At 36.3% G+C, this 16941-nt stretch overlaps 1 protein-coding gene across 10 annotated transcripts in view; it reads right to left on the bottom strand.

The window, feature by feature from the left end:
* Positions 1 to 16941, bottom strand: part of GPD2 (glycerol-3-phosphate dehydrogenase 2) — a 186123-nt gene that overhangs the window by 26130 nt on the left and 143052 nt on the right. For all 10 annotated transcript variants that reach the window (XM_047443963.1, XM_011510977.3, NM_001083112.3 and 7 more), the window contains 3 exons: positions 10502 to 10666; positions 9528 to 9672; positions 2692 to 2885 (listed from right to left, as the gene is read on the bottom strand). In XM_047443963.1, coding sequence (XP_047299919.1) covers positions 2692 to 2885; positions 9528 to 9672; positions 10502 to 10666 — 504 coding nt within the window. The remainder of the gene's footprint in view (positions 1 to 2691; positions 2886 to 9527; positions 9673 to 10501; positions 10667 to 16941) is intronic.

The raw sequence follows: 16941 nt of genomic DNA, 5'->3' as shown, positions 1-16941 counted from the left end.
TAGGTAGAACATAAGTGATCCAGTCTCCGTTAAAGCCCCACGCTCACTTCACGGGTAGAGATCCCCACCCACAATATGGGCACGGCAGCCTTCTGGAACCCACACCTGCTTCCAGCACATCCAGCTTCTTAGCAGGATAAGGAGTTACATTTCTCATCCTCGCTGCATTTGAACTTTAAGATTTTGGAAACTGTCAACATTGAGTTCTCTGCTCTTGAATTAATTTTATATCTTGCTCCAACAATCTAAACTTCCTGATCTTCAGGCCCAGATATAAACCCACTTTCAACAAATATTATATACAGATAAATTACAAATGAAGGAAGATTCATTAACAATAATGAATATGTTAAAATATAATCATAATCCAATGTTGAAGCTCCTCCTAGAACACAAAATGAAAAAAAAGTACCAAGCTAAAATTGTAATGCAGTTTCAGTATTTAAACATGGATGTTAAACAAGTCAAACTATTTTTCAAATACCATGTATGAGTGTGTATGTGTGTGAGTATAAACCTTAACCACACATGGATTTCAATGATATGTATTTAGTATCTTTTATACTATTATTGTAGATATCCAAAGAGACTCTTAAGAATGAAATTACATCCATTACTTTAGATTAAAAGCAATTAATACTATACAATATGGATTAGTCAATTAAACTAGGAGTCACCTGAACCATTTTTGAAGCAGTTTTGAAGCATTTTGTTTACAAATGTGATCACATAACCAAAAAAAAATCCTTTGGGGAAAAAGGATACACAGATGCTAGTGAGTTGCATTCAGACTAACATAGTGCTTTTCCATGTCCTTCACTGACATCAACATTATAAGATTTCTGATATAAATATATGAAGATTATTTTTAATCGTAAACTTGTATACTTTAATATAGATTTTCAAATGGCTACCATATCAAAAACCATGAATCCATAACTAACTTATTTTAATTCAAAACAATCATGAGTAGCATACAAATAAGATAATCAAGATTTGTAGCTAAACACAAATAAAGAATCTTTACCCTCAAGGAGCTTCAAGTGAGAATACATCTTGGACTATTACCTATAATATAATGTTGTGATATACAAACGATATGACCAACATCCCACAGGAATACAAAGAATAGGTGGTTTCTCCAGTATAAAAATTTTGCCAAGATGAAGAGTTGGGGAAAAGGGTGTCCCAGAGCAAGGCTTCAACCTAAATTAGACACGAAGATTCAACATAATAAGACATGAAACCTAATAAAACAATATTCACCCTAATAAGACATGATTAGACCACAGAATGCAGGGATGGGGAGTAGTTGAATATAAACATGCAAAGACAAGTTGTAAAAAGCCTTATGTTTCGGCCAGGCACGGTGGCTCACTCCTGTAATCCCAGCACTTTGGGAGGCCGAGGCCGGTGGATCATGAGGTCAGGAGTTTGAGACCAACCTGGCCAACATAGTGAAACACTGTCTCTACTTAAAAAAAAAAAAAAAAAAAAAAAAAAAAAAAGTTAGCTGGGCGTGGTGGTGGGCACCTGTAATCCCAGCTACTTGGGAGGCTGAGGCAGGAGAATCACTTGAACCTGGGAGGCAGAGATTGCAGTGAGCTGAGATCACACCATTGCACTCCAGCTTGGGTGACAGAGTGAGACTCCATCTCAAACAAAACAAAACAAAACAAAAAGCTTTATGTTTCATGCAAGAGAATTTAGCATTTTTCCTAAAGTCAATGAGAAGATATCTAAAGTGTATATTTGTGCAGAAAAGTGATGATCAGAATTGTGTTTTAGAAAGAAAATTCTGGTAGAAGGATTAGACTGGAGAGGGATAGAGACCTGACCTAAAGAGGCCATTGTGGGGCCAATGCAACTGTTCAAGTGAGAAATGGCACAGATGTGAACCAGGGCAATGAAGTGGCTGATGGACCTGCCTGGTATTCAGAATAAGCATAGATAGGCATTAGACTGGATATGGAAAGAGAAAGGATACCAAAAATAAGCACACCATTTCTAATTTGAGTGACTAGATGCATGGTGAGACTCAACTGAGAGAGGAAATATAGAAGCACAATGTTGGGGAACTTCTGAGACTGGCCTGAATGAAAAAAACAAAAAACTATATAAATCACCAAGGAAAATGCTCTGACAGTCAAGTTGAAATGCCCCAGTAAGAATAGGAAGGAAGTAAACTTTGGCTTTTTCCATTAAAATAAGTAACTTATCCTTCTTTGCTAAGCCCACTGGTCAACATTATACTTTCCATGTAGTAACAGACTATTAAGCATCTTACAAATACAGTTCCAGCCTCTCGTTTATTTGCTTAATTATTTCCTATTGATATCCTGCATCTGTAAATTAGACATTCCTAAGCTGCAGAAATTAAACTGTGATGTACACATTTCATCGTTTTCTGGAAGCACATGAGTGTTCAGAGCTAGAGGGGCTACTCTGATCTTGCCATTAGGAATTATCAGAAGAGGACTGCATAAGTTTCATGTGGGTATAGAAAGTAGAGGAGAAAAGGCAATTTCTCCCCATTATGTTAAAATTTGGCCCTCATAAATGTTCTAAGAGGCACAAGAGGACAAGTGTGAAGATGAGTCAGACTGGAGACATAGCATTTATCCAGTGAGAGCTGGAATGGCTTGGGAGATATGGACACAGAGAGACAAACTTAAAGGAATGCTTAGTTACCTTCAACATCACAACTCAGGTAATTACGCACTTCATTCAAAATGAAGTTGATATCTTCTTCTGAAGGAATTGGATGGTGTGTAACATCAGTTGGAGTATCAGTAGTGCCAGCGATCGTCATCTTTTGCCAGGGTAAGAAGAAAATAACTCGCCCATCACTGGTCGCTGGGTCAAGAAGTCCCATGCTCTCTGGGCTGAGATACAAAGAAGGATTATTTATTTCTGAAAATCCCAGAAGTTTAACATTAATCTGCATTCGAAAAACTATTTATTCATTAATTCTCAAATATGCAAACAAGAAAGATATGAACTATTACTTGCACTTCCCCTACCCTAATCTAGAAACTCCTAAAAGAAAAAAATAACTTAGATAACAAAACAGAATGAAACAAATGTGATGATAACAATATTCCACAGCAGAGCTACCCCTTCCCTCCCCACTTCAACAATGCAAGGCTAATTAAGAAAGTGGGCTTCAACTTCCTACTGTTTGAGTTTCATACTCCTTGGACCATTCACATCAGATAATGTCAGCAGGATAAATGTCTATACTTTCCTTTATAATGGTAAATTAAGGATATGTCTTCAGCCTTTTTTCAAGAATAGCCAAAGTATTTTCCTGAGACATTTGACATTTCATCGCTCAGTAGAAATTCTCAGGAGTACATAAGAAAGTGAAGGGTCTACCTTTCTAGAAACTAAAATGTAATCACAAAGTTCTTTACTACTTTATGCCTAGATGAACTTGTGCCACTTCACCAAATATGAGATTTCCTACTTTATTTCGAGGTTACAAAAATCTCAAAATGTACATCTAGAAGAAAAGAGCTCCATGTTTTACTACTCCCTAAATAGTAATGTCCTAGGATAAGGTCAAACAGGAGAGGAACACTTTAGCAATGAAAATCTTTTACATAAAAGACACTAGTAGTGTACTATGTTAAATCAAGGTACAATGCTGCCTCTACTGAAAGACTACATAAAATCTCCCAAAACGATAGTCAAAAATATTTACTGATATTTACTATTCTAAAATCAAATAATAAAACATATTTGAAAGAAGAGACAACTGTAAACAAACATTAACAAAACCCATCATTTTGTTTTTAAATCACTAAAAGCTGATGTTTTATTTCATTCCTTAGCCATTCAAAGAAATTTGGAGATGTTGTTAAAAGAGTGAGAGGAATCTTAAAGTGTCCTATTCAAGTAGAACACTACAAATCTTCAGATAGCTGCTTCTATTTGACTGGATTCTTGTATCAAGCCAGTGTTACTAGTATTTTCTATAAATATGTTTTTAGCTTCTATTAATGTTATTTTTTAATATGGAAACGTAATTCTATTTGGTTTGAACAAATTTCAAGAAACTCCTCTTACACAAAAATTTAAAAAGACACACAGTCAGATTTTTATCTTTATCATCATTCCCTTAACATGTTTTAAAAAATGATTTATCCCAATGTGTAAAAATGAGAGGGTAACAACTGTGTAAAAAATAATGATAATATTTTATATAAAAAAAGAAACATATAGGCAGCTTAACTAATGTATCTTCTTTATTTAAACCACAAGGAGTGAGTCTTTCTCTTCAAAAAACCCTCAGCCGCATGAAACGCTTGCCATGTCTACTCAGCCTTAGCAGAAAGAAGTCACTGTTCACAGCCTATCTGAGACACATCGGAGAGAGTAGGTAGAAGTTCTTCTACTTAGCTAATCCAAAAAGCACCCTGGAAGTCTGCAATCATTTAAACCTCAGCTCAGAGTCCCACCTTCACTCAGGGTTACTTAGAGAAAATAATTTTACTTTTACTCTAATGTATTGAAAACTACAAATAACAAGTATTTTTGTTCTCTAAATATGATTATTTTTTCTTTGTATTTATCATAAAACTATCTAAAAATCTCAGAAGAAACTAGTCACATGTTTTCTAAGTATATTTTTTGATCCTGGATTGATATGTCCTTAGATTACATCAGTCACTTTGAGATTAGAAATGAGATTAGAACACTCAGAGTTCATTCTATTTGATAAACAGAAGTATATTGAAACAAAAAAATTCTATATTCTAACAATTGATAAACGAATTATATGCTGACATGTTTTATATGACTATATCAAGGACTAGACATCATATGATGTGTCTAAAATAATAAACATGATAAATTTAATCATAAAATTATAATATTCATCAACCTAAAAAGGAAATACCATTAGAAATGCACAACTACTGAATCTTTTAAAAACTTGCAATGCAATAAAGTAGTTTAAAAGGTGAACATGATGGTTACCAACACACATGTAACTGGAACCTGTAGAGAATCAACTGCTTAAGTGAAGACATATGTGACAAACATAAAATTAACAAGCACAGAGGGAAGACAAAGCTATTAACGAATGGTATAAAAATTTAAGAATCCACTTGGAAATATCTTTCATCAGTTCTAAATTACCTAATTCATATTTTCCCTTCGGGAAAAGTCTGTTTTCTCATGAAGGATCAATTTTGCAAGTTCACACTAAAGTTTGAGAATGGATATCAACTATAGCGATAGTATACGCAATGCAACAAGGCATAGGTCTTTTTTCAATATATATGATTCATTTGACATCAGGAGGAAAAGCTTGCTGCTAATTTATGTGTGTGTCTAGGATTAAATGTAATGAATATTTTTCTCATGCAGACCATCACTTTCCTGAAGTGCCCTTAGTTAAACTGAAATCAATTTATTGTTAACTACTTAGCAATCAGTGTTAGAGCTAACAGTATGTACACACATTATAGGAAAAAAATTGACCTCTTGTCAGTAGTAAAAAGCACCAGTAGGCTAAACAGAGATGATTATTTTCATGTATTTCAGTCGTTTGGTGTATTATCATTGCTTTTGGAAGAGCATCTACCCATAACTCTCATGGAAATTCCAGATTTGTTCTTAATATAAAGAGCAGCTTTAAAAATAATTTCTGTGTTGTGTTTTCCGAAATTAAAACAATTTTTCCTTCTTCCCCTCTTCCCCTAAAAAGCTGCTATCATGGTGTAAGATAATTCCACAACTGGAACATTAGTTAAAGTTACAACAAAATTAACAAATGCTGTAAAGATACTTCTGAAAACAGCCCAAGAAGATACACTGCACATATGGTTCCTTACTCTTCCTTTACCAGCCTACACACAATAAATCAATGCTTGCTGAACTCACTGCATTTCCAAATGGATCAGGTTCTAACTGAAACATGCCTGGTTTTAAATTATCATTAGCCAGTTGTGGGGCAGCCCCAGAAGCTTTGGTTCATCCCTGAAGACCTAGTCAAAACTGTTGAGTGACAGCTGCTAAGTATGATTGACTGATGATACCACAGAGTCATTTCAGTTTGGGATCTCCTAATATCACCCAAGAGAATGACTTGATAGGAAGAGGAAAACCACCCCTATGGGATGCCAGAAGTACAGTTGCCTCAAGGTCAGTCCTGAATGAGGGAATGAACCCTTAATCTAGGTCACAATCCAAAGAGAAGGGGCTCATCTGCAAGAGAGCCTGAATGGGAACTAGGCTGCAGACCATTCCTTCAAAGCTTCCAACAGGATGTGTAGTGGTTATAGCTCACAGTGCCAAAAATGGGGATATTAATTTCTCCCAACATAGAATGAGGTCACTTACTGCATCTTAGCCTGAGACAGACCTAGCTGTAACTAACACCTTCATGCTTCAGGAGACCTAAAGCTAATGCTGAATTTTTAGGATTCAGAATTTTTAAAATATTACTTCTGGGTAATATATACCTTTATTCTTAAAAGACACCAAATCTACTCTGTTACTAAGTGTATAAAGCATAATATAGAACAATATATGCAACATGACCACTTTCACACAAAATTTTTAACAGAATACACATTTGTGCTTGTAAAAACATGATTTTAAGGAAGGAATTGGAAGAAGAGGTTATTAATTACCAGAGAAGAACTGGGGGAGGGAACAAAAGGTAGGGGGAATAAGAGTCAGGCTTTCAATTTTCATTTTCATATTTCTATTTTTTTCTATGATGATTGAAATTTCTAGTTATGTACTTACATTATTTATTTATTTTTGTCTACAGGGGTTAGCTGGGCAGTAAGTTGAAGAATCATGTTTTATTTTCATAGTTTGAATTCTCTATATTAAAAAATCTCATAAATGTTACATTAAAGTTTTAATATAAATAAAGGAACAATCTCAATATAAGCAAGTTAACATAAAAAATTTAGGAGGATTCATTCAAAAAATATTTACTGGGCACTAATACGTGCCAGACACCGTACCAATAGCTGGGGATACAGCACTCTATAAAACAGAGAAAAAATAATCCAAGGATCATTGTCAAACCTTATACCAGTTAGGTATTATCAGTACATAAGGGGCCGGGCACAGTGGCTCACGTCTGTAATCCCAGCACTTTGGGAGGCGAGGCGGGCAGATCACTTGAGGCCAGGAGTTTGATACCAGCCTGGCCAACATGGTGAAACCCTGTCTCTACTAAAAATATGAAAATTAGCTGGGTGTGGTGGCGGGCGAGCTACTCGGGAGGCTGAGGCAGGAGAATCACTTGAACTCAGGAGGTGGAGGTTGCAGTGGGCCAAGATGGCACCACTGCACTCCAGCCTAGGTGACACAGCAAAACCTCATCTCAAAAAAAAAAAAAAAAAAAAAAAGATATAAGGAACCAGAAGCTGAAAGAAGTAGCTTGCCCAGGCCACACAGCCCAAGGAAAAGTGATGAACAAACCCCAGAAGTCCTATAGCAAGGTATCACTTTAATTCTGCGAACAATCTCTTTGTCTCTAAACTCTGAAGGAGCAGAATGTTTGCCCATTTTAATGAACGGAAAACTAAGGTTCACAAAATAAAATGGCTTGTCCCAAATTATTTAATTATTTAATGACAGAATTAACATAAGGTCTGTGGGGAATAATCTCTGTCTTCTGACATCATGGGATGATAGTGAAGAAAACATAAGGCACACAACACATGAGAATATGTTGAATCTAGTAAAAGCTAAACAAATATAAGATGTATGATGATTACATCTACACTCCATTCTTAGAGATACTTAAAAACAAACAAACAAAAACTCATAAACTAGCTGGCCTTAGATATTTTTAATCGAACACAAAAGCGTATACAATTGCATCTGGAACTAATGTTGAAAACTTCTCTATATACGAGAAACATATGGGACATTTTCATATATTTATTTCTCTCCTTTTCATTTGAACTAAGCTTCTGGTCAACAGTTTTAAAAACTCAATTAGGTACCACTGCATACATTTCTATTATCTTATGCAGTGGTGCCTTAAGAGGCACCTTGATGTCTCCAGTCCAAAGTAAAAATCCTAAAGACTATTATTTCTCTCACATACGCATTTTGAAAACGCAAAGGAAACCTTGGAAGTTGGTGGATAAGAAATTCTCTTTAATGATTTTCTCAGAAGTGTATCTGGTACCAATTAGGTGCATCTTAGACTCTTCAGGAAGATTTAGTTACCGGACAACCAACAACTAAAAAGGCAGCATGATCTATAGCATAGCAGGATAGCATTCTAGGAGAATGGAAGTATTAAACAAAATATCATAGGTTCTACACATCCACTTTATCAAATATTAAAAGCTGTATATTCCCTTTATGGAAAATTATTAAAACATGGAAAGAAATAACTCTCACCCATAATCATATTACCTAGAAATAATCACCATTCACATTTAACATATTTCCTTCCAGTCTTTTTCTATATACATTGTTAGAACCTACAGCACATAAAATATCAAGTCCTATACTCTAAATTGACATTATATCATTAGTGTTTTCCTAGGGCATTAAAAGTATTTATAATTATAATTCTTAATGACTATATAATATGCCCTTGTGTGGTTATGCCATAATTTATTTATCTATTACCCTAAGGTGAGGAACTGAAGTAGCTTCTAATATTTCTCAACTACAAACAATGCCATAATGAATACTGTTGCACATAAGTCATTATTTCATATAGAATTACTACTTTGCCTACTAGGTTTACCACATATGGAAATAAAAACAGTACACATGCTCTACACCCTTAGCATGGCCATACGAATTTCTTCTATAAATACCTTAAAATGTACGTTATGGGTAATTATTTTTTAGCCAGAACCACACAAATGTTTCTTTTGTAATTTATTAAAAATTTCAAACATATATAAAAAGAGTTTAATGACGCTCCATGTACCCATCACCCAGCTTAAATGATTTTCATTTAATAGCTATTCTTATTTTATCTCTACTCCTGCCCATTTCTTCATCCTCAATTATCTTTGTTAATTTGATAGATTAGATATATCTGGTTTTTGCTTGCTACAATATTTTTTTTAATCTATTTCAAAAGTTATAAACCTAAGAATACTTGGGTAGCCCACATCTTCAGATTCTTCATAAGCAAATTTGGGTATTCTGCAAAATTCATGTCTTATTGTTTTAACTAAAATACGTCCTTTATAAAAAATTTTGCAAAATTAATTTTGCTAATGACTTAAGTAAAAGTTTAATTCAAAAATACCAATGCTTAGTCTCTGAAGGTGACTACACTGAACAAAGAAAAATAGATCCCAAAGCATTAACCCTTAGAAACGAGTATTGCCATAAGTGGCTAAAACTTCCCAAGTCTGGTTTGTATTTTGTGTTTTGGAAGAGTTCCTTTACTTATTTCTCCTGATTTTGAACAGCAAGTTAGACCATCTATTGCTATGCTAGAAGAAGAAATAAACCAGACAATCTCTGCTGACCCTCTTTTTTGGGTGACAACTGCCACATTGGAAGACAATTACCTGTAATAACCAGGCATCACAATATGGACACCAGCACTTGGCTGGCAGATAGCTGCTGCGTCTTTATCATCCATTTTGCGCACAGAGTCCGTGAAAGGTCCCGTGGCATTGATAACACATTTGGCTCTCACGTCAAATTCCTGCCCTGTGAAAGAAAGTGGCATCAATCACACACCTCATTTGTTTCTCTGTTAACGGATGCTGTGTATTACTAATTCATCTATTAACTTAACCCATGGTGAAGTATACTGCATACCACACTAAGTGACCTGAGCAGCTCAAGTTATTGAAGAGCCAAACAAAAGGCTCTCATCTGAGTGAATTTACCAAAAACAAGTCGGAATTGAAGAAAGAAAAGCATTCCACTTTCTCATTATGGATTCTGTCGATCTTATAAGTGCCCAGCGTCAAAGCACCAAACATGAAAAAGTAGAATGAGTAAATAAGCCGCTTTCTCCTGAAAACTCAAATGTGTGAGCAGCACTGCTGTGAGAAAATGTATATCATAGAGCTTTTGTTCAAGAAACGATATAATTTGGAAACTGCCTACTTATATGGCGCTAGAGCCAGGGCAATAATGAAAATCTAAATAAAGTTAAAGATTCACTTTAACAACGTGTAACAATGCCTGTGTCACCCAAATGATACTTTGAAACTTGGCACATTTATTTAATTTTATTAATAACATGTTTTTGTAAAGAAAAAGGAATCCATTCATAGCTGTGGGAATTTGGTGGGCATTTTATTATTATCATTATCATTATTACAACTATAATACAAAGGGGAAAAATTGCCAAGTCCTACAAGGGAAATTTTCACGTTAAACCAGTCATTGCTGACAATAACGAATATAATTAATATGACTCTGAAGCGTGGCATAAATGAAAGAGAAGTGACAGAAAAATTATAATTCAGTCATTATATAAGCTAGGCAAGATACTAAGAAATACCTCCCTCCCAGATACCTGGCATACCTGTGAGGACATCCTTGCACCGTGCGCCGCTCACACGCACTTTCCCTGTCTGGGGGTCTGTCTTCTTGAGCAAGCTCACTACCTCCATGTAATTGGCTGTGGCAGCCCCATACCTGGCAGCAGTCAGAGCAATGGCAAGGTTCATCCGTGCATCGTTATGTTGTCCTGCAGCGGGGAAAGCATCAGGGGAGGGAGAGGAGTCACCTCGAGCCACAGACTGGTGGTACAAAAGTGTGTCACAACAGATATGTCACATCTGTCCCTGTCACCCAGGATATGCATGATGGCTGGGCAGCTTGACAGGGCACAATTTAAAATACACGGTCATTCTCAGCCAGGCATCTACCTGCCGCTTCAGCAAGTGCATTTCGTGTACCATAAAAATAGTGAAAATATCCCTTTCCTACAGAGCTGACATCAATTATCTGAAAGTTAAGAAATAAGTAATTATTCTCTCAGTGTTGGAACATATGTATATGTCAGGCTTTTCCTAATACAGACAAATCGTAAGCATGAAAGTGAAGCAATTCAAAACTTTAGAATATTTGACACCCCAACTGGTGTTGATGAACAATTTTTATGAGTATTTTTATGTGTATGTGCTCTATCTAATATTCAAAATCAAGAGCTTTATCTTCCATAGAGCATTTCTCAGTATTCTGTAAAAGGATTTTTCTTGGTTTGAATTTTGATCAGGGCTTCTTAAAATGTAACTTTTTTTTAATCACACATAAAAGGTAAGAAATTAAGCAGGGCAAAATTTAATTACAGAACAATTCCTACCTGTATTGTTAAAGATTTATTGCTGAAAAATCCTAGTTAAAGAAAACTAAGGGGGAGGAGAAGGGGGGAAAGATGATTAAGCACTTTAAAATACTGGCATCACTAGAGACTTTTTCTATTTATTATTGCCAGTGGAGTTAACGCTGACCAGGAAGAATTACTCTACATTGCAGGGGCCAGGTTCTCTGTGCCCTGAATAATTAATTATCCAGGGCTAGATGTATTGAAGCAGGGTTCAAATTCCCACACATTGGGATCAGTTCTATCAAGATAATACTGATAAAGGGATGAATTTGTAATGGATATTGTTGTTGATTTATGTTGCCAGCATACCAAACATTTAGTATAAATGGTTTATGCAAAGTTTCTTCCTTGTGATTCAGTCTGTGCAGGGCTAGCAGCACTACAGAAGTAATCTGTTCCAGCTAAAAGGGCAAAGTTATAAAGAGAGAATCAATGACTGAAGATTCTGCTGCCCCTCCCCACAAACGTCTTATTCTAAAACCACTGAACTAATATAATCGGCTAAGAACCGTCCCCCCAAAATTAAATGCTCTATCAAGTGGAGAACTTATGTTAAACCTCAACATGCAAAATAAGGAGTTATTTTATCTAACAATTAATAGAATGAAAGTAGAAGAAAAAAACAATGACAATAGCAGTAGTTGAGCTATAAGTGGGAAGGGTAGCGGTTCCATAGTTTCAACTCAGCATGATCCTAAGGTTGCTTAAAATCATATTTGAAGTTAAGCTGAAGAAATCAATTTTTATTAATGTAGGGTTCCTTGCTTAAAATTGGAATACATTTTATAAAACTAAATGCATGAAAACAGTCCAAAGAAACTAAATAAAATTTCCATTATAGATCTTCTCCTTAAATTAAGAAAATAACACAGTACCCATCCGACCCAATCTTTCTGGTTGATTTATATATCTAACAAGGAAACACCCTGCCCCACAAAGGCACATATCTGGTAGTACAAGAAATCCAAGTCATGCTTGCTCTTACCATAGGCTTAGAGAAACGCTCACCCATCCAGGTGTGCCTTGAAGCCTCTGGAAAGCCATGTGTAAATGAAATATTTTAAATCCTAAATGAAGCCACTATTTAAAGGAACCAGGCAGAAATTCCATTTATGAAATGATAGTTCCTTTAGAAAACAGTTATACATTCATCTGACTCTAAGGTGACTTTAAAAAGATAAAATTTTCTTTTAATATGTGTTTAAAATATAAAATCTCATTGGAGCAGTATAGGTTATAGTTCTTCAAGCTCTGTAGCTTCCATACTAACAAATGTTCCCTAATTAGCATCTAAATCTGAATATGACTGCAGGTAAGCAAGCTTAACTTCAGTTTAAAATGTGAGGTGGAAACAAGTTCCTATGGTCCTTGTTTTTCTATGTCCACTCCCCAGTTCCCAGCAGCAGCTGTCTTGACTCAAATCTGAGATGTCACTTACACAAAAAGGCCATTCATGATATGATCCTCGTCTGCCATGGTTCATACTACCTAGAATTGTGAAATTATTTGTAGCTCCCTGAACATTCATGTCATTTCCCACCTTGCCTTTACACACACTTATTCTTCTGGCTGGATACCATCCTGGAAGTTCTGAGAAACCTCTCTTCATCTCTCATGATCGAGTTCAAATGTCTAGTTCTGCATCTCCTGGAGGGATGCAGAAAGTCTCCCTTTATCTGCATCCTTCCAGGGCAAAATTATTCACTGCTTCCTCTGGGTCAACATTTTATCTTGTATACACCTTTTTAAATAGTCTTTATGATACTAGAATCATCCATGTGTCCATCTACTTACAAAAATGAAAATCCTTTGTTATGAATCAGGCACTGTGACAAATGCACGGAATATAACTGAGAAAGACACAGGGTGATCTCTACCTTCGTGAAACTTACATCCCACTGTAATTACTGTACAATTCCCACGTCTCAAGAGAAAACAGAAAGGCTTACTTGTTTGTCTTTGTTTTTTTTCTAGTTATTAGCAGGTACAGAATACGTTTCCAATTACTGTTAAGTTTAGCCTAATCTCATTCGCTGTGTTAAACAGGTATTGAAATTCTTACATTTCTAACTATGGGATGGAATACTTCCTCTTGTTAAAGAAATTTCAGACTTCAGTAAGTTGGTGGCAAGAAATGTGACAGAGACATAAATGTGTAAAATCTGAATTTAACCCCAAACTAGGCCCTATATTTATGTTAAATAAGTGGGAGGGAAGCAGAAATAGTTATGAGTGATTCCCTCGGGACTTATCCCAGAAGGTATCCCTTGCTTTGCAGGGAAATGCAAGCACAGGTATTATTAGCTCCCAAAACTTGAGGAGCAAGTAATCTGATGGTATCCCCGAGCCCTGGGCCTCACACCTCCACCCAGCAATCCTCGTCTTCCCAGACATTCAGCTTAATCCATTTACCTCCATGGATGCAGGGTAAACCTCCTCCTCCCCTACCCCTTACCCCTTACCCTGAGATACCCAGATGCTCACAGTATATGCTTCCTGAGATATACGTGATATATTTTCATTATTCCTAACTAATTTCCCCAACCCTCTTTCCTGACATTTTGAAAGGTAACTCTATGCCTCCTGTAATTTTTATTCTGGAGAAAAAAGTTTTTGACAACACTGCATGCCATTGGAATGTGATACAATAATCCCAAACCCCCACCTAATTGATCTGCTTATTAAGTTTAGATTTTCAAAGCTGTTTCCTTAGAGCCAGGCAACATTATACTGTTTTTCACTAATCACCGAATAGCTTTACATTGGCACTTACACAAGGACCCAGACGGGAACTGTGAAAATCTGTTTCCGACTCTGTTCTCTTTTGCACTTGAAATCTTGCATATGTGCACATACTGAGCCTACAACTCATAGGAGAGGAAGCACACAAGAGGTGGAACTATAACTGTTTTCTCTTGTTTAGAGAAACAAAATATAAAATCTACCCACCAAAAAGAATGAAGGTTGATGGTGGTAGAGAAAACTTTGTCTTAATCCTCAATGACCTTGCACAGAGCAGAATAAGAGATATTTTAAGTGAAAAATGCAGGACCACACATATTTTAGAATGTAACTGTCTAAAAGATAGGCCTCAAATATAAATATTTTGGAGACAGCAATACTGCTCTCCTCAGAGTCAAAGTTTGGCAACTATGTTAACATGCAAAATAGCTCAAAAAAAGAAAAATAATCACTGATGTATAGAGTATGAAGAATGAGTAAATATGAAAAAAACACAGGTATAAAACTACCTGGGATTTTCTTGTTTCTTCAGGTCTAAAACTCTTATTTATGTCAGTCTACATATAAGCTTCCTTTCAATATAGCATACTTTTAAATGGTATGCTTATCACAGACTTATTGATCTGATATCTACCTGCCAGTATAGAAACTCTATTTGTTAGAAAAAGTACTTCTCAATTAGAATAGCATCTGTCCATAATTTCATCAATTAAAAACTGCCACTGTTGAAATGTTGAGAATATTTCCTTCCATGTCCCTGTGTCCTGACCTGAGTCTTGAGCAATCACTTTGACTACTTCAAGAAAGGGGAAAAATGATGCTGGTAAGAAACAATACCTCCCTAAAGCTTTAATCTCATTTCTAACTAAATTTATTCCCCAGGCTTCATTGTCTCAGACTGAGAGTGTCACAGTGACCTCTCTGGCAGCTCCCCCTTAGAGGTCTAGCAAAGATAATTCAAAGCCTCACCTACCAAACTCAAGCTGATTTAATATAACCACTATATTCAAAATGTCCCTTTCTGATTGGAAATATTCAGGTAAAGGCAGGGCAAAACAGGGATGTGTGTGTGGTGTGTGTGTGTGAATGAGTGTGTGTAGGCATGCGTGTGTATGCTCATGTGTGTGCACATGCACACGTACTCACATGCATGCACATAAGGGGATTATTTTGCTTTAAGGTATGATGTGTAAACTTAAAAAGGAAAACTCAAAATAAGAACCCACTCTTCATGGTGAATTGTGATAACAAGGCAATTTTCAAACATAAACCATTTACAAAAGTGATTGTTTGTGTGAGGAGTGACGGGGTCAGGGAGGCATATGAGGCAGTTTAGGGAGAATGTATCTTAAAAGATATTGTGGAGAATGGCTCTGGGCTTAGAATGACTGAGTTGCAACTTTTGGTTGTGTCATTAACATGGCTGGGGGAATGTGGGTGATACACTGTGCTGCTTTGGGCTTCAGTGTCCTATAAAAGGAGATGAGCCGGGTACATCTGAAATTATACAATGCATGCAATAGCTAATTGTTAATAATTACCTATCCCTTTCAAGATCTCACTTCAACCTTTTCCCATTTCTGGTTTCTCTGACTTTCCCCCAGCCTATCAAAAAGAGACTGGGCATCAGTAAAGCTGAAAAGATAAGTGTTTCATCAAGGAAATCAGAAATCGTACGCTTCCGTTAGATCTATAAACTTTGATTTGATTAGCAGTATGGGCTATATAATATATTGCAAAAATTGTCCCAATCCTTCACCCCTCCCTGTAGCCATGCCCTTTGCCTTGAGTCCTCACAGTGCCCCACTCTAACTCTCAACTCACCCATGTGAAATTGTTTTGGCCAACGGAATGTTGGTAAATGTGACAGAAACAGAGGCTCAAAAGAACACTTGTATGTTTCTGCTTGTGCCCTTGTCCTCCACCAATGTCATTAAAAGGACATGCCCAGGTTAGCCTAATGGTACCAGGAGGAAGATGACAGCAAATGTTGAGTAGCCCCCTGAGCTAAAGCCATCCTACTTCAGCTGACAGACAGCCAACACCTCCACAGAGGAATGCAAGTTCAATGGAGAACAGAAAATCACCCAGCCCACCCAGACTATATCAGAAGAGCCACCTGATGAGCATTCCAATGCATGTACAATAAACCCTAATTATTTTTATGCCATTCACGTTTGTGGTTATCTGTATGAAGAATTACAGCAATAGATAACATATAGGCAATGTAGCCAATTTTCTACTAAAGTTAATCCCCATTTATAAACAGGATCTATCTTCAAAACTGTATGTTTGGAACTCAATTCTTTTTTCTATAGAAATACTATAAATAAAAGGTGATTTGTTTGTGCCACAGGAGCTACTTAGTGCATAGGGTACCTGAATAAGGGAATAAATAATGATTCCAACAGCCTCAATGCCCACCACTCCTTCACATTCGTCCTAAATTTCCAGACTGACCGCAGTGCCCAAACTCAAATAAAATATTGCTCTTCCACACCTCTGATTTCTTGCTCATGTTGTCCTTACTATGTGGTACATCTTACCCAAACTGGTAAACTCAACTTTTAATCCTTCCTTTGTGAAACTTTCCCTGACTCCTTTTAGACACAATGGCCTTCCCTCTTCTGTGTTTCCAGAGAACTTTGTACATACATTTATTACAGCACAAGCTATTTTCTAAATACTTGCATGGAATATTCACTCATTTATTGATCACTTGTAATGTACCAGAGATTGTGCTAGGAACTGAGTCTATAATGCACAGCCAAAGAGACACAGTTACAGACTTATGGGACATCAATTCTAATGATATGTTCCTAAAAGAACAGAGTGCATCTTTTTCAAATTTGCTTCCCCAGTACCTGCCAAAGCCTTTGCTACCTAGCAGA

This window comes from Homo sapiens, chromosome 2, assembly GCF_000001405.40.
Source record: "Homo sapiens chromosome 2, GRCh38.p14 Primary Assembly".
Lineage (NCBI taxonomy): Eukaryota > Metazoa > Chordata > Mammalia > Primates > Hominidae > Homo > Homo sapiens.
The sequence above is the reverse complement of the archived record's forward strand: the minus strand, read 5'-3'. Positions and strand labels throughout refer to the sequence as shown.